The sequence below is a fragment of the Homo sapiens genome, chromosome 6 (genome assembly GCF_000001405.40).
Source record: "Homo sapiens chromosome 6, GRCh38.p14 Primary Assembly".
Classification (NCBI taxonomy): Eukaryota; Metazoa; Chordata; class Mammalia; order Primates; family Hominidae; genus Homo; species Homo sapiens.
Window position 1 is genome coordinate 76,917,387 of NC_000006.12, and position 27,859 is coordinate 76,945,245.

General features: G+C 33.6%; 2 long non-coding RNA genes across 2 annotated transcripts in view; one reads left to right on the forward strand and one right to left on the reverse strand.

Annotated features, from left to right (window-relative positions):
- LOC124901345 (uncharacterized) lies at window positions 1-27,413 on the reverse strand. Its single transcript, XR_007059651.1, has 2 exons — window positions 16,684-27,413; window positions 1-1,161 (listed from the first exon to the last, which is right to left on the reverse strand). It is a non-coding gene; the product is annotated as an uncharacterized LOC124901345 (long non-coding RNA).
- The window catches only part of LOC105377862 (uncharacterized), a 322,839-nt gene that overhangs the window by 142,437 nt on the left and 152,543 nt on the right, over window positions 1-27,859 (forward strand). The window lies entirely within an intron of this gene.

Genomic DNA, 27,859 nt, shown 5'->3' on the forward strand with positions numbered 1-27,859 from the left:
TTATGATGTGCCAGATCCTTTAATGAGCATAGTAGATATAAAGATGAAGGGATAATACATCCGTATCCATGAAAGAGTTTATATTCCAGATGGGGAATTGGGCTCAGAAATAGACAATTTCAGTAGCATATAGCAAGAACTAAGATACAGATGTACATAAAGTGCTGTTGTAGAATATATAAATAGAATTTGAACATTTTCATGTAAAACAAGTCTGCTTAATCTCCAATTCAACTTAAAAACAATGTTCCTTTGCCTTTTGAAGGCAAAAGAACATGTTACTACATAAAATACCTAAGAGCTGTAAGGAATTAGAGTTAATTAAATTCTTGGCTAATTCAGGTAAGCTAGCTCCAATATTTATGGTTCTTATGAATCTTAATCATTATTTGTAAACTATATTTTAGTTATTGACTGATATATTTCCTGATAAACACAATTGACATTATTGTTCTTTTAAACACAGTACTTAGTGAGCCAAATAATGACATATGTAGTTCTCTATAACTAAAAGACGTTGCAGAAATATAAACAAATTTTGTTAAAATTCAGTGCCTATCACAGACTCAGAAAAACAGAATGTCCAAAGATTAGGTTAAGATATATTCTGAAGCACAAATACTTCGAACTAACGAAACCGTAAGCTCCAGATGGACGAAAATTGTTGTCTATTTTCTTTGCACAAAGAACCGTGCTTGGCATACGTTGTTGCAGAGTAAATAGTTGAATGAATAAACAGCCTGTAATTACAACTCATAGAGTAGCATCATTTAAAATAGATTAACATAGACAGTTTTACTTCATCCCTGGATCCTAAAAGATTGTCTAGAATGATGATATTTAGTGCGTATGAATTTCATGTCCAAAATTCAGGTGTTTATCAAGTGTAGCATTTAATACTTTTCTAACTACAGCTTATGTCACATTATTATTGTAGGTATTCTTATTCACATTCTCACTTCCATTGCTCTTCTTTCTTCCTCAACTTATTTAATGTACTTCAGGTATAAAGTCCAAAGGGAGGAGGAGAGGGAGGACTAAGGAAATATTGTTGATATAGGTTCTTCTGGAAAAGGTTTCAAACAAAATTCAGCTGAACAGATGTTTTGAGGAAACCTCAGCAAAAAATGTAAAAATGCTGCAGAGCATTGAGTATTTAAGCTGAAATACAAGAACAAGTAAAGCTTAAGAGTGACAAAATAAAATAACAGTAATTGCAAAAGCTGCAATTACTTTTGCCCCACCCTAATGTTCTATATTTCCACAAAGAAGAAATAAAAACAAAGGAAGACAGGCTAAGTCAAATTGTACAGTTAATTTCTAAATCTTTAATAACAGTCAAACAGCATCAATTAAACCTAATAAATACAGCAGTAGAAATTTAGAGTGCAATAGAATGAATAACATTATTGAATAAAATTGGGTAATAAAAGAAAAGGAGACAAAAATTTTATTTTTGCTTGTAGTGGGGAATAAATAAGAATTATCTAAATTAAATATCTAATTATCTAAATTAATTGTCTAAATTAAAAAGATGCTAAGATTCCATTCAATAAAAATATTATGGTTACCACCAAGAAAGAAGCCAAGCATACACACACACACAAAGCAATGTAAGCAGACAAGACAATGAAAATCTTAAAACTGTAAAAAAATTATAAATTATATAATGTGTGAGAGAGAGAAAGCCAATGAAATGTGATTCAATACCTGTAAATAGGTTTAATTAACCTATTAAAATAAAAATATTTCATATTGTATCACAAAGCAAGTGACAACTGTGTTGTTTATACAAGTGTCACAGTAAACAAAATTATTTCAAAATGCTAAAATAAAATTTTGGACAGCTGTATTTCAGTAAAATGGAGTAAAACGAAGCAGAGGTCTTTCTCTACCAGACACGGTAAAATTTTGGCTACAACTCATTACATAAGAAAAACACAAATTATTATACCAAAAGGTAAGATTCATAATATAAATGTAACATTTGTAATTATCTTTATGCCAAGTAATTTAACAATAATTTTTATTAAGCAGAAATTACAAGAGATAAAAAAAAATTACACAACACTAATATTAGAAGGTTTGAGTCTGTCACGTTCCAAGACAGATCAAATGAACAAAAAAAGATTATCAAATACTTACACATTCAAATCAATATGATAAATCTGAGGAATATATATTTAATATTTTACTTTTTTTTTTTTTTTGAAATGGAGTCTCGCTCTGTCTCCCAGGCTGGAGTGCAGTGGAGCGATCTCAGCTCACTGCAAGCTCCGCCTCCCAGGTTCACGCCATTCTCCTGCCTCAGCCTCCCCAGTAGCTGGGACTACAGGCGCCTGACTCCGCGCCCGGCTAATTTTTTGTATTTTTAGTAGAGACGGGGTTTCACCGTGTTAGCCAGGATGGTCTCGATCTCCTGACCTCGTGATCCACCAGCTTCGGCCTCCCAAAGTGCTGGGACTACAGGCGTAAAGCCTATACCTTCTTTTTATCTGCCCATAAAACGTACATAAAATGGACCAACTATGAAAAAAAAAAACACACAAGCCAACTTTAACAAATTCCAAATAAATAAAAATAATAAATACAATATTCTTGGATCACAGCTTAATAAAAATAGAAATTAAAGTTTTAAAAGTTAGAAAAAATAGTTTCCCTGACAAGGGATTTTAAAACTTTATCTTAAGAAATTCTTGATACAGGAGAGGTTCAATTAATATCATAAGATTTGCATGTAAGTACAAATGAAAGTACAGATGAAATAATACTAATGGGAACATTCATAATATTAAATTTTCTTATGTATTGTTACAAATTAAACTTGATGTTATCCATACATATGTAAATTAAGCATCTGATTTTGAAATGTTAAAAAACAAAATATACTAAACAAAATATTTTATAAAAATATTATTAGAAAAATGATAGAACAAATTTTTAAAGCTTTATTCTTTGGAAGTCAGTAAAATAGTTAAATCATTAGCTGATTTAACTAAGGAATAAATAAAGGTACTCACAGCACAATAGAAGTGACCAATGGGGAAAACAATCACAGAAACTGAGATAAAAATTTATAATAATAAAACACCACTTTGCACAAATCTGTAAAAATATCTTGAATGAAATGGATAATTTTTGAGAAAAAATGGAATTCATTAAAACAGACTTTGTTTTATAAAACAGATTAAAACTTATAATTTCTGCAATAGAGAAAGGGAAAGTTGCAAAAGAGCTAAATCTCTTTCTTCTAAAGAACTGGATTCTCATGCTTCCACAGCCACTTCTACTAAACTTACAAAGATAAGATTTTGATGTTTGCTAAGCCTTCTCAGAGTATAAAAAAGTAAAAAATAAATTAAAATCCCAACTCCGAGATTGCTTTTATAATACAAATACATTGATATCAAAATTTCTAAAATAAACTATAGATCAATTTATGCAAAAATTCTGTTAGATATTTGCATATATTAATAGAATTCAACATCACATTGTATAATAAAATACCATGGTATGTGGATTTTTTAGAAATGCGAAGATGTTTCATAATTGAAATGCTTAATAATATATTTTTATATTTAATGCAGTGAAATAGAAAATTTTATAATTTGCCTCATATCGAATAAAAATGCACTTAATAAACATTCAATACCCACTCTAGAGAAAAAAACATTTAAAATATTAACAAATATTTCCTTAATATTTATACATAAATTACATATGCATTTGTTAACATAATTTTATATAGGTGTATGAATGTATATGTGTGTATGTTTATATAATATATATAATATATGTGTATATATATATATTTGTATACACTCAAAAACCAGTCAGAAGATATAACAGAAGGCATTCCAATATTTACAATGGCAATCCAAGAAGTCAAAACACCTAGGAGTGAATTTACAAGAAATATGTAAGACTTCTTTGAAAAAAATCTTTATAATATTTATGTTGGACATAATGGTAGATATAAATCAATAGAAAGCTATATCATTACCTTAAGAACAATCAGCTTCTGCAAAGTGCATATTCTTCCCAAGATAACTTCTTTTTAAAATTCAGTAAAAATGCCAACTTTTTTAAATTATAAAAGCTGATTCTGAAGTTTATATTAGAAGTTAAATAATCAGGAAAACTTGGGAAAAGAACATTAGTGAGAAAAGACTAGCCCTATCAAACAATGACCCATACTACCAGCCTCAATAAATAAAGTGGTAACTGGCCAATGAATAGACAGATCAATAGAAAAAAAAGGAAAGTTCCGAAATGGACTCAAATCCTACAGAAATTCAAAATATGATAGATAAGTATACCAAATGAGAGAGATAAAAATTTACTTTTTAAAAGTAATGCTGCCACCTCATACCTATTAGAATGGCTAGTATTAAACAAAACAAAACAGGTTACAGTTTTTGGCAAGGATATGGAGAAATTGGAACCATATACATTGCTGGTGGGAATGTAAAATATTGCAGTCACTGTGGAAAACAATGTGGCAATTCCTTGTAAAATCAAAAATACAATTACCATATAATCTAGGAATTCAACTTCTGGGTATATGCTTTAAGGAACTGAAAGCAGGAACTCAAATAAGTATTTGTACCTTCATGTTCATAGCAGCTTTATTCAAAGTAGCTAAAAAAGGTGGGGAGTCTTGTTCCACAATCAGAGCTTAGAAGCAAGCTGGCTCTACCCTCTCACACAGAAATCCAAAACCAAATGTACAGTGATGGAATTATCACCAGCAATATCTCAGAATTCAAATAGGAGAGTGCACCATTTCCCAGAGCTACAGAGAAGTAAACAATCTTCAAATAGCTTGTCAGAAAACAAGACTTTCCTATCCACAACAACCCTTTTCTCAACAAGCCCAGCATGAAGTACATAGAAAAATTTCTCCCAACTCATGGTTTCTGCACTGGAAAAAGCACAACTGAGGTGGAAAACTAGCTTCCCCACCATCATGGGTTCCCTGGCAGGAGCCCTGTTCCTGCCTGACTCTATGGGAAGAATTGCCAGTGCCTGAATGGAGTAATGTTCCTGATGACAGCCTAAGACAGAGGAGGCAAGTGGCACTACCAACCCTAGTCCTAGAAACTGTGCTCTGCAACTCTTCCAAAGGAGATGCCAAATGTCATTGACTGTTCAGCAGCTACTTGCTATAGGAGGTACGTTCCACAGGTCCTTTTGGCACAAATCTATAGCTAGCCTCCCCACACTGCTAGGAATATCCACCTTGGGAAGACCCCCATTCAGTATGAGCAGTACTCTAATCATTTGCTAGAGGCAAGGCTTCAGTAGCCATCTAGTGCCAAAAAGGAGGCAGTGAACCAATGGAATTTAAAAAAAAAAGAAAGAAAATCAACAGGTAAATTACAAACAATATCTAAGCAAACATACCCAATAAAAACCAAAACAAGACAGAGAAGAATGGAATAAATAACTAATCATTCAATGCAAAGTCATACAGATACGTTCATATGAAACATATACATTCATAGTAGCGAACAGGGAACCGTGACCTCCCCAAATGGACAAAGCAAGAAACCAGTGATAGACTCGAACAAGACAAAGGTATGTAAACTCTCTCACCAAGAATTCAAAATAGAAGTCTTAAGGAAACACAGTATCTCCAAGATAACACAGAAAACCAATTCATAAATTTATCTATGAAATTTAAAAAATAGATTAAAATAATTTTAAATATTAAACAAAAATCCCAGAACTGAAAAATACATTTACTGAATTGAAAAATTTATTAGAGACTCTCAATAGCAGAACAAATCAAGCAGAAAGAAGACTCAGTGAGCTTGACACAGGCTTTTTTTACAGAGGAGAAAAAAGAAAAAGGAACAAGAATCACCTAAAAGATATAGAAAATTACCTCAAAAGACCAGATCTAAGAATTCTTAGTACTCAAGATGGACTTAGGCAAGAACAAGGGGTACAAAGCTTATTCAAAGATATAATAATAGGAACCTTCCCCCAACTTAAGAAGGATAAAAATACCAAGGTAAATGGGGGTCAGAGAATACCAAATGGATTCAAACCAAATAAGACTACACAAAGAAACACAGAAATCAAACTTCCAAAGGTCTTTGAGGATCCAAAGAGAGGATCATTATAAATTGTCCAGTCTCAAGTATTTTTTGATAGCAATGAGCGAGCAGATTAACATAGAAAACTGTTACTAGGGATGGGTATTGCTATTAAGATACCTGAAAATGTGGAAGCAGCTTTGGAATTGGGTAACAGGGAGGATTGGAAGAGTTTGAAGAGTTCAGAAGAAGAGAGGGGAAGATAAGGGAAAATTTGGAACATCTTAGAGACTAGTTAAATGATTATGACCAAAATGCTGATAGTGATGTGGACAGTGAAGTCCAGGCCGAGGAGGTCTCAGAGTGAAATGAGGCAATTATTGAGAATGGCAGCAAAGGTCACTTTTGTTATGCTTTAGGAAAGGGCTTGGCTGTATTGTGCCACTACCCTAGGGACCTGTGGAACCTTGAACTTGAGAGTGATGATTAAGAGAATCTGGCAGAAGAAATTTCTAAGCAGCGAAGTGCTCAATATTGACCTGGATGCTTCTAACAACCTATGCTCATATGCATGAGAAGAGAAATGACCTAAAGTTGGAGCTTATAATTAAAGGGGAAGCAGAGTGTAAAAGTTTGGAAAATTTTCAGCCTGGCTATGTGGTAGAAAAGAAAGCCCATTTTCTGGGGAGAAATTCAAGCAGGCTGCAGAAATTTCCATAAGTAAGAAGGAACCAAGTACTAATAGCCAAGATAATGAAGAAAAGGCCTTGAGGGCATTTCAGAGACCTTTGAGGCAGTGCCTCCCATCACAGGCCCAGAGGCCTAGGAAAGAAGAATGGTTTCCTGGGCCAGGCCCAGAGCCCTGCTACCCTACAAAGCCCAAAGACACTGCTCATGGCATCCCAGCTGCTCTAGCATCAGCTGTAGCTAAAAAGATCACCAGGTACACTTCAGGTTGCTGGTTCAGATGCAAGCTGTAAGCCTTGGCTGCTTCCACATGGTGTTAAGCCTGTAGGTGTACAGAGTGCAAGAGTTGAGGCTTGAGAGCCTCTGCCTAGATTTCAGAGGATATATGGGAAAGCCTGTATGTCCAGGCAGAAGCCTGCTACAAGGGCAAAGCCCTCATGGAGAACCTCTACTAGGGCAGCATGGAGGGGAAATGTGAAGTTAGAGCTGCTTTAGAGTCCCCTCTGGGGCACTGCCTAGTGGAGCTGTAAGAAGAGGACCACTTTCCTCCAGACCACAGAATGGTATATCCACTGGCAGCTTGCACACTGAGCTTGGAAAAGCTGCAGGCACTCAACACCAGCCCTTGATAGTAGCTGAGGGGACAGAATCCTGCAGAGCCCAGAGGTGGAGTTGCCCAAGTTTTTGGGAGCAAAACCTTTGCACCAGTATGGTTTAGATGTGGGACACAGAGTCAAAGGAGATTATTTTGGAGCTTTAAGATTTAATAGCTGCCCTGCTGGGTTTTGGATTTGCATGGGGCCTGTAGCTCCTTTCTTTGGGCTAATTTCTCCCTTTTGGAATGAGAATGTATACCCAGCGCTTGTACCCCCATTGTATCTTGAAAGTAACAAACATTTTTTTTGGATTTTTACAGGCTCATAGGTTGAATAAACTAGCCTTGTCTAAGATGAGACTTGAATTTGGACTTTTGAGTTAATGTTGAGATGTATTAAGATTAGAGGACTATTGAGAAGGCATGATTATATTTTGCAATGTGAGTGGAACGTAAGATTTAGGGGACCAGGGGTGGAAAAATCTGGTTTGGATTTGTGTTCCCACCAAACCTCACTTCAAATTGTAATCCCCAAAGTTGGAGGTGGGGCCTGGTGGAGGGTAATTAGATCATGGGGGCAGATTGCTAATCAGTGGTTTAACACCAACCATCTCTTTGGTACTGTGTTATGATTGTGAGAGTGAGTTCTCATGAGATCTGGTTGTTTAAAAGTGTGCAGCACCTCCTCCCCTTACTCTTGCTCCTGCTATATGAAGTACCTGCCCCCACTTTGTTTTCCACCATGATTGTAAGTTTCTTAAGGCCTCCCTAGAAGTCAAGCAGATGCCAGCATCATGCTTTCTGTATAGCCTGTGGAACCATGAACTAATTATATTTATTTTCATTATAAATTACCCAGTCTCAAGTATTCGTTTATAGCAATGAGAAAATGGACTACACAGATTGCTTTGAATATTTGGGCTCTTTTTTTTTAGTTCGATGTGAATTTTAGAATTTTTTTTCTAATTCTGTGAAGTATGATGTTGGTAGTTTGATAAGCATACTGTTAAATTTGTAGATTGCTTTGGATAGTATGACCATGTTAATGATACTGATCTCTCGTTGAGACCTTTTACTTTCTTGGTTAGCTGTATTCCTAGGTATTTGATTTTACTTGTGGCTATTGTAAAGGGGATTGTGTGCTTGATTTGACTATCAGCCTGGACATTATGAGTGTTATATGGTTTGCTGTGTTCCCACCCAAATCTCATGTTGAACTGTAGTTCCCATAATCCCCACGTGTCACAGGAGGACCTAGTGGAAGGTAATAGAATCATGGGGGCGATTACCTCCATGCTGTTCTCATGACAGTGAGTGAGTTCTCACAAGATCTGATCACTTTATAAGGGGCTTTTCCCCTCCTTCACTCTGCACTTCTCTCTCCTGTCACCATGTAAAGAAGGATGAGTTTGCTTCTTCTTCCACCATGATTGTAAGGCACCTTTGGTCACCTGAAAAGATTTCTTTCTGTTTTATCTAGTTGACTGTGGTAGTTACTGGGTTCCATGCTTTACTCTCCTTCCCAAATTTTTCAGAATTAATTGTGAAAAAATCAGCTCAAGTTAGTTCATCTACTTGAAAGGAATCGAAGTTAACATCTTATATAAATCAATGGGCATTAAATTTTAGTTATCATTGGGATTTCTGCTACCCTACAGTTGTATAAAAGTCACTAAGGTATGAAGGAAACTCCTCTAATGGGGGCTCAATTGCCAAGAATATTCAATACAATGTGTTTGCTTTCTCTGGACCACTACAAGGAACACCCCATCTTTAGTGACCCTGGAAACCCCTAAACTAATGTCTAGGCTTCTTGGTGTCCTACCTTTGCAGGTGCTGGTCCCAAGAGGGGACAGACAGATCTACCCTCTTGAGGCTGAATGAATCTTACCTCTACCTCTCTGCTTCTTAGAGGTACTCTGCCCTTTGTCTTCCTTGTGGTACTCCTAGCACAATCCATGCAAGGACTCAAGCTCTAGAAAAATGAAACTCAGAAATGAAAATATTTTGAAATAAATTCTGCTTTTTGAACAGCAAAATTCTCTAAGACAATGAGTTATAAAATGTCTTATAACATGGGTGATATAGGTAATACACAAAATTAATATATTAATAGATTACCCTATAGATGTTTATCTGATTCTTAGAGAAATTAGTTAAAATTATGTTCAAATAATTTTTGAGCACTTATTTTCTTCCAGAGTCTGAATTTTATGCTTTCAAGTGCTACCTTTATAGGTTTTTATTAATTTTTTTCTTCCCATTCCCATAATTATTTAAGCTTCTTTCTGATAATCCTTTGGTTTCCAGCAAGAAATCTGAGATAATATCTTAAGATGGGGTTGTGCAAAATTGCATTATGGAGGTCATAATGGTCAAATTTAAACTCCACATCTTATATTTTTAGGTACGGGTAATTGAATATAAATATAAAATATGACATTTGTCTTGCTGCTTTAAAAGTTAGAGGTAGGTCATTTTATTGATTTTAGTAAAATTTAGTTGTTTGCTAGAATATGCTGCCATATTCAAGGAAAGGTCATTGTGGAAGGTTGTAAAAGCAAATTAAAATGATGCAGCATTTTCTAGTTCCTTTGTATGCCATTTTTCCCTCATTTAGCTTTTATTCCAGACATTGGATTACTGTATTTTGAATTGTACTTTGACAGAATTTAGGAATAAAGATTTTATGAAAGATAGAGTTACTAAAACATTTTGAATCCTGATTTGTAAAACACAGTTTTAATTGGTTTTGCTTATAGAATCCATCTTTGAAATCTAGTACAGATTTACTTTTACATAGAGATCTCATTTTTATTGCTTCTTACTTGACCTACACTCAATTTTGGAGAACTGGAGAGACCAAGGACTCAGATAGTAATCACAAAATGTACATTAGAAGCTTGGAGAAACAAAATTAAATTAATAAAAATGTACATCTAATTTAGAAAAACTGAAGCCAAAATTTCTATGTTGGAAGTCAAATTATCCAATTTAGTTGTCAACAGTAGTCAATTAATGTGACCTCCAAACCTATACTTTTGGTATTCATGTCAAATGGTCTTAAGTTCACTAATACATAAGGCAATGTCATATCATAGCTATTCTTAAAAGTGATCTTGCTAAAACTGAAGTCAGATCATGTCATTTCTCTGCATAAATCCCCTGAATAGCTCTGCATCATAGAGCAAAAGTCCAAGTCATTAAAATAATCTCTAAGGTTATGCATGGTCATAACCCTATTCACCCCAGGTCTTCTCTGAACTCACCTCTTGCTTGCTCTAGAAAACTAGATGGGCCTTAAACATGCCAGACACACTCTGTTCACAGGGCCTTTGCACATTCTGATCACTCCACCCAGAAGTCCCACCAGAATGCCCAAGTATTCTTATGTGTACGTTTTTTTTTTTTTTCATATTTATCACCCCCACTGGATTGCATATTTTAAGAGGGCAGAGATTTTTGTCTGTTTTCATCATGGCTGAATCATAGTGCTAAAGGTATTCCTAACACAATAGCAACTCAATTTGATGTGTTTGAGCAAATTAATAAAACATTAATTGAAGACTCTATTTCTGCCTTATGACAGGTCAAATGTCCTGAAAATCCTCTCAACTCAAAACTTCGAAATGCTAGAGGTAATATAGCAAATGTTGTTTACATACATAGCCAAACTCAAAAGAAAGTAAGAGATATCTTCAGGAGCTAAAAAAGTGTCTGTAGCCATATATCAATGACAAGCATTTGCCTTTCAAATTAATCAGGAGCCTTCTGTTTTAATTCTTTATAGGACCAGAGACCTAAAGGCAAGTAAGCTAGGGATTCCAAATAGTAAAACAATTGACTATCTAAATGCAGCCACTGGCAAACAAACTTTGTTAATTTTGTTTTTTAAAAACTCAAAGTAACATTGAGAATAAATCAAGTAGAGGAGATTCATAGTCTAAGAGAAGGATAAAAAATATATTCTAGATAGGAATAAACATTCTCTCAGAAAACATGTCAGGACTGATCTCAACTTAAACATGAATACAAGTTTTAATATATTTATCAACTGGCCGGATGAGGTGGCTCATGTCTGTAATCCCAGCACTTTGGGAGGCCAAGGTGGGTGGATCACGAGGTCAGGAGTTTGAGACCAACCTGGCCAACATGGTGAAACCAATCTCTACTAAAAAAACAAAAAACTTAGCTGAGCGTGGTGGCACACACCTGTAATCCCAGCTACTCGGGAGGCTGAGGCAGGAGAATGGCGTGAACCTGGGAGGCGGAGGTTGCAGTGAGCCAAGATCATGCCACTGCACTCCAGCCCTCCGGCCTGGGTGACAGAGCAAGACTCCATCTTGGAAAAAAGAAAAAATATATATATATAGTATATATTTATATATATACTATATATTACATTATATATATAGTATTATATTATATATAACATATACAGTATATATAATATATAATATAATATATAGTATATATATTTTATATATATACTATATGTTACATTATATATAGTATTTATATCAACAAAGAGACATTTGGGTCACAAACAGAAAGCTTAGTACCTTACATTTACAAAGTCTGTCTTTATGTTAGCAAATTACAGATACATTTCTAAATTATTAAATAATGCTTATTTCTCTTAAAATAAGTTCTAGAAATATTGCAACCTTATCACACTGAACTGGATGAATATTTAAAAAAGGAAGGCCAGTCATAATAATGGCACTAACTATTCCAGTTTAGACCTACAGAAAGAGGTAGTTCAGAGAGAGAACAGGGGAAACAAGATAGTGTAGGAGATCACTGTGGATGATAAAGCTTTTCTTTCTGGTACGTTTATTTTCAGAACATTTGTGAAAATCATTTGAATAATATAGGCCTAATAATGAGTAACAAATGGGAGGTGTTTTGTTTCTTCTTACTTCTTGAAATGTAATTAGCTTTATTCTGAATTCTAGCTACATTAATATATTTCATCTTAATCATATAGATGTCAATATCAACACATCCATCAGAGAAACCACATCCAAACCTAATTCAAAGATAATTGCTTCCAAATACCATAGCAATGGGGTTTAGAGCTTCAGCATTTAAATTTTGCAGGGAAACAAATATTCAGTCCATAACAATGGTAATAGAGAATTCCATATCTTATTGTAGTAGTGGAAAGCAGCATGGCAGAAAAGTACGGAGAAAACGGGATATCACTGCAACCATTTTTGGAAAAATATAAACTTTTAAACAAGCGATTTGGACTATTGATCTTCTATAGCTGTCTCCAGAAAATTCCCCAAAAATCACTTGTTTCAAAGATTCCAGCAGCTGTGCTCATCCCTCGTGTTTTTCTGTAGTTTCTGCAATGTGTTAACTAGCTAAACAGTGATGGTTAGTGGCAGCTTCCCTTGACATTGCCTTCTTTAGCTTTTCAAACACTTAAAAATTCCCATCTTACAGTTAAAATGTTTCACCTCATGGAGATACAGTGGAATGACACTGGAAAGTGTATGAAGGTAAGAGGGGAAAATAAAGAGAGGTTAGTGAATGGGTACAAACTTACCAATAGAGAGAAGAAATAAGTTCTAATGTTAGATTGCAGACTAGGTTGACTATAGTTAGCAACAATATATTGTATATTTCAAAGCAACTAGAAGAGAGGACTTGAAATGTTACCAGAACATGGAAATGATAAATACTGAGGGTGATGCACACCTCAAATACTCTGACTTGATCATTATACATCCTATGCATGTGAAATATATTCACATGTACCACCTAAATGTGTGATAAATTGAGAAGAGTTTCGGCTTAATTTTTTGGGGAGACATTACATTAGTATTTGATTTCTATAATTTTGAAAATTGGAAAAAAAATTTAAAAATAATTATTTATCTATTAATCAACAGGGATTTGTGTGTGTGTGTGTGTCTGTGTGTGTGTGTGTATCTGTACCTGTGTGTTTTCAGAGAGAAGAAATTCTCTAAAAGCATTTTTAGCCTTCTTAAAACAGACGTAAAACAAATTAAAGCGCACCCTGGGATGACAAGAACATTAGTGGTATTTACATTCTCTCTAAAATTGTTTAATTAATTCACATTTTTGAGTGTATTTGAATAGACCTTTGCTTGCAAACACATTTTTAGAATTGTTAAAAGTTGCTTAAAAATTAAATTTTTCAGAGTATCTTCTATATCTATGATTTTCCCCTGTAAATCGTATTTCTAAACTTTTTTTTTTGCAATTTACATTTTTTCTTGCATAGGTTGGCAAAAAAAGTATCATATTTCACTTCTGGTGGATTATTTTTTGGATTAATTTACAAATTTTGTTTTTGTTTTTGTTGGTATTATCTTTATTTTGTTCTCCCCATGATCCTTTGTTTTATGTTGTCTAGTCTAACTTCGTGAATTGAATTCTGAGTAATTTCATTTCTTTATATTTATTAATACATGTTTAAATCAGTTTAATAACAAATTTTCTATAGCAATCTCTAGCAGCATTCCATATTTGGATATGTTGCCTTTCCATTAATATTATTTTTGGCTATCTCTGACTGAATTTGATTTCCTTTCCTCACCTAAGAATTGTAAAGAAAGTGTTTTCAAATTCCAGTTGCTTAAGGAATTTTTATTCCTATATTTTCACTAATTTCTACTAGCAACTAATTTTGTCAAAATATTATCTGTATTTAAAATTTAAAATGTATTTTTTGTGTTCTAATACATAATCACTTTGTATATGTAAAGTGAACACATGAAAAATTTGCTATCTATAAAGTTATTAAAATTAAGTTATATTTACTCAGATTTATTGGTTACATATTTCAGATTCCCTACATTTTTATATGATTTGTCTATATGATTTGTTATGATTATATGAATAAATATTACCTATTATTATCTGTTGTCATCTCCTCTCAGTTCACAAAATTTATACTTCGCAAATTTTGTTATTAATATTTCCTAATTTATTAATTAGCTGAAGTAGACCTTATTGTGGAATTTTCGTTTGATTTGATACCTTTAATGGACTGAACCTTTCAGCATATTTGTATACTAAATTATCTTTATCTGGTTCCAGTATCACAACCACAGCATTTGATTAATACACCTTAGCTTTTTCTTTTTTCAAAATTTAAGTAGATGAGTTGTCACCATTTATATTTGTTGTTATACTGTACTATTTTGCTTTAATTGTGCAGTTCTTTATACTTGTATAAATTTAAGGGGCAAAAGTGCAATTTTGTTACTTGAATATATTGCATAGTGGTGAAGTCTGGGCTTTTAGAGTGTTCATCACTGAATAATGTACATTGTACTCATTAAGTATTAAGCTCCCACTTTTAGGTGAGAACATGTGGTATTTGTTTTTCTGTTTCTGAGTTGCTTCACTTAAGATAATGGCCTAGAGTTTCATTAAATGTTGCTGCAAAAGACATGCTTTTATTCTTTTTTATGACTAAGTAGTATTCCATTGTGTATGTGTACCACATTTTCTTTATCCAATCTGTTGATAGACAATTAGATTGCTTCTATATCATTGCTGTTGTGAATAGTGCTGCAATAAATATACAAGCACAGGTCTTTTTGATATAATGATTTATTTTCATTTGAGTAAATACTCAATGGTGATATTGCTGATTCGAATGGTAGAAATCTCCATATTTTTCATGTAGGTTGTACTATTGTACATTTCTACCAACAGTGTATAAGTATCATCTGTTATTTTATTTTTATAATAGCCATTTTGACTTGTATAATATGATATCTCATTTTGTTTTTAATTTGCATTTCTCTGATTATTAGTGATGTTAAACATTTTTTCATATGCTCTTTGGTTATTTGTACGTCTTCTTTGAAAAATGTCTATACATATCCTTTACCCAATTTTTAAAGGGGCTATTTGTTCTATTGTTGTTATTTTTATGTTTTTATTTTCTGAGAGTTTTTATACAATAAAAATGATTAGGCTCTTCTTTCCTATGTTTTTGGATGTGTATGCATATATGAGTGTGTGTGTGTTTTAATTCAGGCAATTTGGAAGAGTTGTAATTTTTTTATACTTCTATTTGTTATAACTCTGTGCAACATAATTACCATGAAAATATCTTATTTTTCCTAATCATAATTTCTTCTTTGTGGGTATAACAGAATTCCCTTGTCCTCAATGGGCCACCACTGTCTTACTCTCAGTCTAGGTGGTTTGGGTAAAGCTGACTTCCCCATAAGCTTTAAAAGTGGCATATGATAATAGGTACATGCATTGGAGGGTTTCATTATTTTCCACTTTTCTGTGTAACTTTCTTACTATAATAAAAATGTGAAAGAAAACAAAAGAAATTAAAAGATAAATCAGTTTAAATGTTTTTTTACTATACAATTTATTTTTTTTAGAATCATAAAGCATGCCATGTTGTAGCTATTTTCTTAATTGTGGAACCTGCCTTTGCACTGGTCTTCTTATTTCTTTATCAGCTCTCCTTAGGACTATTCTAGAAAGTTTAGAGATGGTCATCTGCATTGGGTTATGCAACAAAACAAGGATAATTAACTTCATCAGATTTTGGACAGTGCAAAATTGTATAAAATTCTGAAAATATGTATTCTAAATTACTTTTCAAAGAGCATACATGAGATAACAATAAGAATACAATAGGAGGCTGGTTGTTGTGGCACACACCTGTAATCTCAGTGCTTTGAAAGACTAAGGCTGGAGGAGCACTTGAGGCTAGGAATTCAACACCAGCCTGAGCAACACAGTGAGACCATATCTTTACAAAAAGATTTGAAAAATTAGCTGAGCATGGTAGTGCATGCCTGTAGTCCTAGCTACTTAAGAGACTGAAGCAAGAGGATTGTTTGAACCTGGGAGTATGATACTGCAGTGAGCTACGATTGTGTCACTGCATTCTAGCCAAAAAAAAAAAAAAAAAAAAAGTACAGTAGGAGTATGACTCTAGCAAAATAAGTGTGGTGTGGGAAATTCTTTTTTAGGAATTCATAACATATACTTAAAAATAAAATGTATTATTTTAAAATCCAAAGACAAAAAGCCTACTAATTTGATTTAACTCCATTTTGACTGTGATCCAAACATACATTTGGAAATATATCTTAACATCTCTAGGTACATGATTCCATTTAATTCTGATACATAATTTAACAAATGCTGTTATAACTAACTAAGCCAAAAATCATTGTTACTATATAATATTTATTTTAAAATACATAACAAATTAAACATATTTTCAATACACCTTTTATGGAGAGAATTAGAGTATGATTTACTTTTTTATATGATACATCTATAATGTTATTCTAAGGATAGAAGATGTTTTATTATCTTTGTGTTGTGGCTCACCAATTTTGACTGGGAAGCTCCCACTGTTTTCTGGATGACTTTAGAATTCGTTCTTCTTCTTGAATAATATTTACAACTCCATGTCTCTCTCTTAAATGTCTCTCTCTACTTTTATGAAGAAATAGGAAGCATGGAATCAAGACAGTGATTATAAAGACAAATCCTCAGTTCATTCTCTTGGGAGCATGTGTTCATGTCCAGACATCTTCAAATGAGGGGAACAGAAGGATTTGATGCATTTTCATCCAGTTGTAGAGACTGGCTATGAAAACAAATATTGGTATGAGGCTGCTTTTCATAAAATGTTAAGCATTTCAGAAAATGCCTATCATGAGGAAAAATATAGAAAAGCTGTGCTGTAACCTTAACAAATTTTTACTCAAAGGAAAAATTCAAGGAAAGAAGAAAGTATAACTGACAAAATAAGCTATATTGCTTTAATTTAAATTATATTACAAGGGTATCTCAATAAATCTCAAGTTAATATCAGTCACACCAAAGCAATAATTCAGCCAATTTTATTAATTTTTATTACTAATCCAGCCAAGATATTATTTCTTTATCTATATTTTGCAATAAAAATAGGAGTGAAACTTTAAAGCATATCCTTTCCATTACTTAAAAGTAAATTACTAAATGGTTCTTGAGAAAGATAAGAGGATTTTCCAAAGCAGGATTTCATTCTCGTAGTAGAGGGACAATAGTGTATTTTTAGCAGAATGCAAGTACTTTTAGGTGATATCTGGCTATGTATTTGATAGATGATGCATTTGTATTATCCATATTCTTTTTCTGCTACGTCATACAGAAAAATTCTGTCAAAATAGTTGTTTTTGACTTTTTAATGCATATTTGCAATCAACAAATAAAGTAGCTAATCTATTTCAGCCTATAGATTATGAATGTTTATTGTTAGGAATCCATAACACTGATATAGTCAGTATAAATTAGGTATACAAATTATAAGCTGAGGTTTTTAATATGCTAGCTACTGTATATCAAATATAAGCATTTGATATTAGAAGAAAATTGGTTCAAATTATTTCAGTGTCAGTGCCCTTGTACAGTCACCCCTTGAAACATTAAAAATGTTTTCAAAGATTTGGAAATTACCAACAAATGTAACTTTCAACTCATACATTATAAAATAGTTTCTTTTTTGATTAGTAATTTAATATCCTGTTATTACATGCAAAAGATGCCATTAGGAAATACTGGTGAAAAATAAAAATTAGAAATAATTATTTAATGGTGATAAGAGAATAGTATTTATTTATATTTTTTTCATTCATTCATTATCAGTTTAATCGTTCAGGAAGTAGTTATTGAATGCCTGACATATTTCCAAGGCTACATATATTATTATTATCCTATTTCCTAAGAGCTTTTCTTATAATAGAAGAAATATAACAAAATACTAATTCATATAAAGACAAAGAATATAATTGAAAATATTATATTTGTTAAAAATAATTGCTTTAAGAATTTAAAAAAGATAATATTTCTTTCTGAGTTATTAAATAAAATGATCATAGAATAGATAGCATCTTTGCTTGGCCATACAGAGATGGCAGATACAAAGTCCATCCCAGATATACATATCTTTACTTTTCTAAAGAAAACTTTTTTTTAAAGTTTGAAGTAAATAAGTGAATTTTTAGCAGACTGACTGAGAGGGTTAGGTATAATATAAGAAAGAAATATTTAGAATTAAGTTTTTAAGATTGGTTGGAGTCAGAATATTGAAAATTTTGAATATTTAACTAAGGTATTTTGTTCTACTCTATAGGCAGCAGTTGAGCAACTTAAAGCAAGATTTAATTAAGAAAATATTGACAAATATTTAAGGCTGTTATTAAAAATAATCTAAATACAAAAGCACATCTGAAATAAAAAAAAATGAAAACCTCCAATATCTACTCCTCCAAAATAAAAAAAATGAGAGCACTTGCAAAAATTGTTAAAATCAATTTTTTTTTTAGAATTCAATTTCAAAATAAAGAATTCTAGGAATAAGCCAAGGGTTGAAACAATCTGGGGAATAATTATTCAAGACAAATGTGTGTATCTTAGTAAGAACAGTGAGTTTTGTGGTGTTTTACTTTGTCCCATTCTTATTCCCTTCTTTCCAGTTCCACGTAGCCTTGAAAACCATAACTTTGCAAATACAGGAGTTGTGAAAACGAGCATCCTAGAAGTCACTGTAAGGGCAGAATGTGTTTGGAGAAAGTCCCATTCCCAGAAAATTGTCACTATTTAGCCCATCTGAAAGTCGCATAAAAAGCTCTACTGTCGACATTTGTCTTTATTTGAGCTGATTCAGAGCTTGCTTTGTGCAACTAGCACAACCCATCAGAGGCAATTGCTTAATATTGCAGCTGCCTTCAGTGGAGATTCCAGTTGTGACTAACAAGAAGCTGTTTTAGAAAAATAAAATACCCTTAAAAATAAAAACTAATACACTCATGGAAACCTAAAAAAATTATGCATATGATTAGGGTTGTGAATACACTTAGGAAAGACCTAAGAGGGCCCTAATCTCTCACAGCTGGCTGAGGATAAGGCTTGATGTAACCAGGGAGTGAAGGCAAAACTAGAGATGTAAACTGTCCACTGGAGTGTCGAAAGATTCTCCCAATATAAACAGGGGTCCTTTGACAAAGGTTGGGAGATTTATTTGTTCAAGGCACTTAAGGAAATCTTTGTCCAATCATTTGGTGATGAATAAAGTGGCCAAGAAAGACATAAGTGTTCACACATGAAAAAGAATACAACATACTTTACAAAATTAATAAAGTCATTATACAAACAAACAGCAACAACAGTAACAACAACAAATAAAAACAGCACATCTTGGTTTGGTGGAAAACTATTCTGAATTTGCCACTAGATATCCATATTTGAATGTCTAGTTTTTAACACAAAATTATGACGCATGTAAAAAATAGGAAATTAGTATAGCTCATACACAGACAAAAAAGAAGCAATAGATCGTGTATCTGAGGAAATCCAGATGTTAGACTTATCTGAAATACACTTTAAATCAACCATAATAAATATCCTGAAAACAGTAAAGAAAAACACATGTAATTAAACACAAGTATGAGAATAATGTGCCACCAAACATCAATGAGATAGAAATTATTAAAAAAGAACCTAGTTAAAATTCAGAAATTGAAAAGTATAATTACTGAAATGAAAGAGAATTCACTAGAGGCAATCACAACCAGACTTGAACTGCGAAAAGAAAGGCACAGCGCACTAGAAGATAGGTCAGTGGAGATTATTTAGTCTGAGAAACAAATGAAGGACAAAAATATAAATAGAAAGTCAGATTATACATCATGACCTGGTTTGACTTATCAAAATAATCTATGGTTGGATTAATATCTGAAAATCAATTATTGTAAAATAGCATGTTAACAGAATAAAGAACAAAAGCATATGATCATCTGAATAGATGTAAAAAAAATTACTTAATAAAATCCATTATGTGTTTATGATAAAAACACTCAACATACTAGAAGTAGAAAGAAATGATCTCATCATCTTAAGTATATCTATGAAAAACTCACAGCTAACATCATATTTAATGAAGACAATGCTTTCTCCTTATATCAGAAACAAAACAAATACATCTACTGTTTTTTATTTCTATTCAACATTGCACTAGGAGTTCTAGCCAGAGCAATTAGTTAAGATAAAAAATTATAATTGGCATTCTGATAAAAAAGGAAAAAGTAAATTTTTTTCTCCACAGATGAAATGATTATTTATATTAAAAAACCCTAAGTAATTCACACATTTAAAAAGTTAAAATTAAAAAATAGCTAATCAAGGTTGCAGGTCCAAGATCACTATAAAAAGTCAATTTTGCAGACACACATTAGCAATTAACAATTGAAAACTAAAATTAAGAAAGCAACTTATTCACAGAATTATCAAAATGATAATATATTTAAGAATAAATTTGACAAAGTATAAAATTTTAGCATTAAAAACCACAAAATATTACTAAAAGTAATTAAGAAATATCTAAATAACTGGAGGACATCCTATTCCATGAATTGAAAAACTTAATGTTCTTGCGATTAAATACTCTTCAAATTGAACTATAGATTCAACACAAACCCAATCAAAATTCTAGCTGCCTTTTCCCCCCAGAAATGTATAGGCTAATCCTAGAATTCATATGGAAATGCAAAGGATCCAGAATAACCAAAACAACCTTGATAAATAAAAGTTGAAAGTCTTACATTTTCTGATTTCAAAATCTACTACAAAGCTACAATAATAAAAATAACATTTCCTGACATAAGGATAGACATAAAAATCTATGAAATATGACTGATAATTCAGAAATAAACCTTACATTAACAGTCAATTGATTTTTGAGAAAGATGCCAAGACAACACAATTGGGGAAACACAGCCTTTTCCAAAATGATGCTGGGACAAATGAAATGGATATTCACATGGAAAACAACACAACTGAATCTCTATCAAATGTATTATACAAAACATAACTCAAAATGGATCAGAGATGGAAATGTAAACAATAAAACCATACAATTTTTAGAAGAAAATGCAGAAATAAATATTTATAACCTTACATTAGGTTATTGCTTTTTAAATTGAGACAGCAGAAACACAAACAACAACAACAAAAATAGACAATTAGCCTTCTTTAGGATAAAAACAAGGCAAAAATACATGCTCTCTCCACTCTTGTTCAACATTTCACTAAAGTTCTGGGATAATATAATCAGGTAAATAATAATAATTTTATACAAAAATTGAATAGAAAACTTCCTGTTTGCAGGCAAACATAGATTTTTTAGATTGCAAGGAATCTATAAACATCATTTGAGAATAAATAGATGCATCCACTAACATTGGAAGACATACAGAACATAAAATAGATAGACATAAAAAATCAGTTTAATTTCTGTGTATTAGAAAACATGGTCACTGAAATTAAGGATGCAATACTGTGTAAAATAACTAAAAATAAAATGAAATATCTAGGTGCAATTATATCAAAATATGTATAGGTCTCGCATACTGAAAATTAGAATACGCTGATGAAAGAAGTCAAGGAAGATGTAAACAAATGGAAAGATGTACAGTGTTCATGGATTGGAAGGCTCAAAATAATAAAGATGTCAAATATCTTCCAATTCATAAACAGGTTTACTACAATACCTATAAAATCTCAGCAAGAGTTTTTTGTAGATATAGACAAGATTGTTTAAATTTATATGGAAAATCAAATGATTCAAATAGCTAAAACAATTTTGAAAAAATAAAGTGAGATAAATAGTTTAGCCAATATCCAGATTTATTATATATCTATAGCTATCAAGATTCTAGTTGTATTGGCAGATAAATAGACAGGTAGATCAAAAGAAATAGCAAACTCAGAAATAACTCCACTTATTCTGAGTGGAGTATCTGATTTTTGTTAAATGTGCAAAAGCAATTTCTTAGAATATTGAAAGCCATTTCAGCCATGGGTCATTGCTAGGCAAAAGAAAAATACAACAAAACCTTGACTTAAGACTTAAATCTCACACTTCATATAAAAACTCACTCAACATGGATCACAGACTTAATGTAGTATATAAAACTGTAAAGCTTTTAGAAAGAAACAGAAAATCCTCAGAATCTATGGCTAGGCAAAGAGTTCTTAACATCAAAAGTACAATTCACATAAGCAAATTTTTTATAAATTGGACTTCACCAAAGTACTTTTGCTCCATGAAAGACCCTGTTAAGAAAATGAAAAACCAAACTACAGACTGAAAGAAAATAGTTGCAAATTATATAGCTGACAAAGGCCTAGTGTTTATAATATATAAGAAACTATCAAAAGTCAACACTAAGAAACAAAAACAAACAACACATTTTTAAAAATCCCATTAGAAAATGGCAAAATAATGAACAGTTATTTCACTGAAGAGGACATACAGATGACAAATAAGCACATGAATAGGTGTTCAACATCATTAACCATTACAGAAATACGAATAAAAATCACAGTTGTTTATCACTACACACCTATCAGAAAAATTATAGTAAAAAGTAGTGACAACACCAAATGCTGATAAGGAAGTGGTGAAACGGGCACATGTGAAATGGTACAGCTACTCTGAAAAACTGTCAGTTTCTTAAAAAATTAAATATACAATGGAGAAATAAAATTTTATCTTGACAGAAAAACCTATACATAAATGTTGATAGCAGTTTTATTCATAATAGCCCCAAAGTGGAAACAATCCAAATGTCTTCCAGTGGGTGAATAATTAGACAAACTTTGAAACAGCCATGTGATGCAATACTAAGCAACAATACAAAAGACCAAAATGTTGAAATGCACAGAAATTTGGATAAATTCCTAAATAAAATGATGAGTGAAAAAAAGCCAATCTCCAAATATTATATACTACATGAATGCATTTAAATGATATGCTTGAAATTAAAAAAAAATAGTGAATGGAGAACAGATTATTGGTTTTCAAGCTTTAAGTAAGTAGAATGAAGGAGAGGAAAAAGGAAAATTAGCGTGGCTATAAAAAGAAGAAAAAAATGAGTAATCCATATGGTGATGGTAATGTTCTGTCTTTTGATTGTATCAAAGTAAATACCCTGATTGTGACGCTTTACTATTGTTTTGAAAGTTTTACCACTGTGGAAACTGGGCAAAGTGTACATGAAATATTTTTGTACTATCTGTGACAACACCATGATAATCTGTAATTATTAAAAAATAATAAGTGTAATTGAAAAAGATCCTGCTTATTAAAAAGGAAAGGAAGTAAAAGTTCACAGAACTAAAACACTGCAAGACAGAACAAGAGGAATTTGATTGTAGGAAAGATATGGAAAAAGGAAATTTTTGTCATTTTCTGCTATTTTCAGTTAGTCTGTAAAACATTTAAAACATTAAAATACAATAATTATTATGTACTTATTTTCAAGGCACTGACTCTTACTTTAGGAGTACTTTGCTTTATAGTTATATTTAAAACAACAGCATAGAGAGGTGGAGCAAGATGACAGAATAGAAGGCTCTACTGATTGTTCCCACTACAAGGACACCAAGTTAACAACTAGCTATGCAGAAAAAAAACCTTCATAAGAACAAAAAATCAGATGAACACTCTTAGTACCCAGTTTTAACTTCATATCACTGAAAGAGGCACTGAGACATAGAACAGTCCAGAATCACTGAGGCTATCCCTCCCCTACCCCAGCAGTGGCCCTGTGGTGCAGAGAACCTCTCTGGGTGCTGCGAGAGGGAGAACACAGGCTTTCTGAGGCATTGAACTCAGTGCTGTTCTGTTAGAGCAGAAAGGAAAACCAGATCAAATTCAGCTGATGCCTTCCCAGAAAGGGAGCATTTAAACCGGCCTTAGCCAGATGGGAATCACTGATCCTAGTAGTTGATACTTGAGTTCTGTCAATCCTTGCTGTCAAGGTCTACAGTACTCTGTGTCTCCAAGTAAACTTGAAAGGCAGTCTAGGCCTTAGGATCTGCAAATCTTAGGCAACTCCTAGTGCTGAACTAGGCACAGAGACAGTGAACTTGGATGGAAGGGAGGGGCACGTGATCTACTGTGACACAAGCTAAGGCAGCTAAGGGAGTGCTGGCATCACCTCTCCCCTAAGGCAAGGCTGACCAGCTTGTGGTTCCAAAAGAGACCGCTTCCTTCTGCTTGAGGAAAGAAGAGGGAAGAGTAGGGAGGACATTTTCTTGCATCTTGGATACCAGCTCAGCCACAGCAAGATAGGGTACCTGTCAGACTCATGAGGCCTCCATTCCAAAGCCTAGCTTCCAGACAACATTTCTAGGCACACTCTGGGCCAGAAGGGAACCCACTGTCTTGAAGGAAAGACCCTAGTCCTGACAGCATTCATCATCTGCTAACTGAAAAGCCCTTAGGCCCTGAATAACCAGCAGTTATACCCAGGTACTACATTAATGGCCTGGGGTGAGTATCTGAGACTTATTGGCTTCAGATGAGACTCAGGACATTACCAGATGTGGTGCCTATGGGGCAAAATTTCTTCTGCTTGAGAAAAGCAGAGGGAAGAGTAAAGGGGACTTCGTCTTGCATCTTAGGTAGCAGCACAGCTACAGGGGTGAAGAGCAACAAGCAGGCTTTTGGGGGTCGCTAATTCCAGGATTTGAGTCATAGCATTTATGGACCTGCCCTGGGCCAAAGAGAAGCCCACTGTCCTGAAGGGTGTGTCCCAGGCCATGCAGTATTTACCACATGCTGAGTTAAGAGACTTTGGCCCTTATGGGAACATTGGCTAGCCAGTCTGGCAGTAATGCAGAGTGCCTCTCCAGGCACTAGAGGAGGGAGAATGCAGTAATTGTGAGTCATTGAACTCACAGTGGTCTGGGGTGGCAGTGGCTATGGGGTAAGACTCCTCTGCCTTTGGAAAGGGGTGGGAAGAATGGGAAGGACTATGTTTTGTAGTTTGAGTACCACTCAGCTGCAGTACAATAGAATAGCAGGGAGACTTCTAAGGTTCTTGACTATAGTTTCTGGCTCTAGAAAGGCATCTCTGGACCCACCCAGGACCTGGGGACCTTGCTGCCCTGAAGGAAAGGACATAGGCCTGGTTTACTTTGCCACCAGCTGAGGCTAATTGTAGAGCCCCAGGGCCCTCAACAAACATAAGCTGTAGCTAGGGAGTGGTTACAGCAGGCCTTGGGTGAGACCCAGTGCTGCGCTGGCCTCAGGTCTGACTCAGTGCAGTCATAGTGGTGGTGGCCACAGGGGTGCTTGTGTCACTCCACCCCCAGCTTTACATGGCTCAGAGCAGGGAAAGACACTCTGGGAGAAAGTAAGGGAACAGAATAAAAGTTTCTGCCTGGTAATCCAGAGAATTCTCTCAGATCTTGTCCAAGACCATCAAGGCAGTCCCTCTATGAGTCAGCAATAAACAGAGTTGCTGGACTTAGGGTGCCCCCTAAAGCACATACAGCTTAGATCACAACACCCAAGTCCTTTCAAATATCTGGAAAGCCATCCCAAGAAGGATGGGTACAAATAAGCCCAGACAGTGAAGACTACAGTAAATACCTAACTCTTCAGTGCCCAGACACTGACGAATATCCACAATCACCAAGACCATCCAGGAAATCATGACCTCGCCAAATGAACTGAATAAGGCACCAGGAACCAATCCTGGAGAAAGAGATACGTGACCTTTCAGACAGAGAATTCAAAATAGCAGTGTTAAGGAAACTCAAAGAAATTCAAGATAATGCCTAGAAGAAATTCAGAATTCTATCAGATAAATTTACTGAAGAGATTAAAATAATGAAAGTGAATCAAGCAGAAATTTTAGAGCTGAAAAATGTAAGAGGCATACTGAAGAATGCATTAGAGTCCTTTAATAGCAGAATTAATGAAGCAGAAGAAAGAAATAGTGAGCTTGAAGACAGGCTATTTGAAAATACACAGAAGAGACAGAAGAAAAAATAATAAAAATGAAGCATGCTTACAGGATCTGGAAACAGCCTCAAAAGGGCAAATCTAAGAGTTAGTGGCCTTAACATGGAGGTAGAGAAAGAGATAGGGGTAGAAAGTTCATTCAAAGATATAGTAACAGATAATTTCCCAAACCTAGAGAACGATACCAGTATCTAAGTATAAGAAGATTACAGAACAACAAGCAGATGTTGCCCAGAGAAGACTACCTTAAGGCCTTTAATAATCAAATTCCTAAAGATCAATGATAAAGAAAGGATCCCAAAAACAGCAAGAGAAAAGAAACAAACAATGTACAATGGAGCTTCAATAAGTCTGAAACAGACTTTTCAGTGGCAACCTTACAGGCTAGGAGAGAATGGCATGCAATATTTAAAGTGCTGAAAGAAAAACACTTTTACTCTAGAAGAGCATGTCTGCTGAAAATATCTTTCAAGCATGAAGGAGAAGTAAAGACTCTCCCAAAGAAAATCAGAATGATTTCATCTACACCAGAGTTGTCCCACAAAAACTGCTAAAGGGAGTACTTCAATCAGAAAGAAAAGGACATTAATGAACAATAAGTGACCACCTGAAGGTAAAAAACTCACTGGTTCTATTAAGTACACAGAAAACCATAAAATATTACTGTAACTGTGGTGTGTAAACTACTGTTGTCCTAAGTAGAAAGATTAAATGATTAATCAATCAAAAATAATAACTACAATAACTTTTCAAGACATAGTACAATAAGATACAAATAGAAACAACAAAAAGTTAAAGAGTAGGGGGATAAAGTCAAGACATAAAGTTTTTAATCTTTTTTGTTTTTGCTTGCTTGCTTGTTTATGCAAATAGTGTTATCAGGTTAAAATTATGGATTATGAGATAGTATTTAGAAGCCTCATGGTAACCTCAAAGCAAAAAACATACTATGCATACATACAAATAAGCAATAAACTAAATCATATTACCAGAGAAAATCACCTTAACTACAAGAAGACAGGAAGGAAAAAAGGAAGAAAGAGAAGACATAAAACATCCAGAAAACAAATCACAAAATGCCAGGAGTAAGTCCTAACTTATCAATAATAACACTGAATGTAAATGAACTAAACTCTCCAAAAGACATAGACTGGCTGAATGGATGCAAAAACAAGACCCTAATCTGTTGTCAACAAGAAACATACTTCACCTATAAAGACACATATATACTGACAATAAAGGGATGGGAAAAGATATTCCATGATAATGGAAACCAAAAAAGAGAAGAAGCCATCATGCTTATATCAAACAAAATAGATTTCAAAACAAAAACTACAAGAAGACACAAAGAAGTTCACTATATAATGATAAAGGGGTCAATTCAGCAAGAGGATATAACAATTTTAAATATATATGCACCCAACACTAGAACATTCAGATATATAAAGCGAATATAATTAGAGCTAAAGAGAGAGATAGGCCTCAATAAAATAATGACTGGAGAATTCAACAACCCACTTACAGCACTGGACAAATCTTCCAGGCAGAAAATCAGCAAAGAAATGCCAGACTTAATCTGCACTATAGACCAAATGTATCCAGTAGACATTTACAGAACGTTTCATACAGAAGCTACAGGATACACATTCTTTTCCTCAGCACATGGATCATTTTCAAAGATAGACCATATGTTAGGTCACAAAA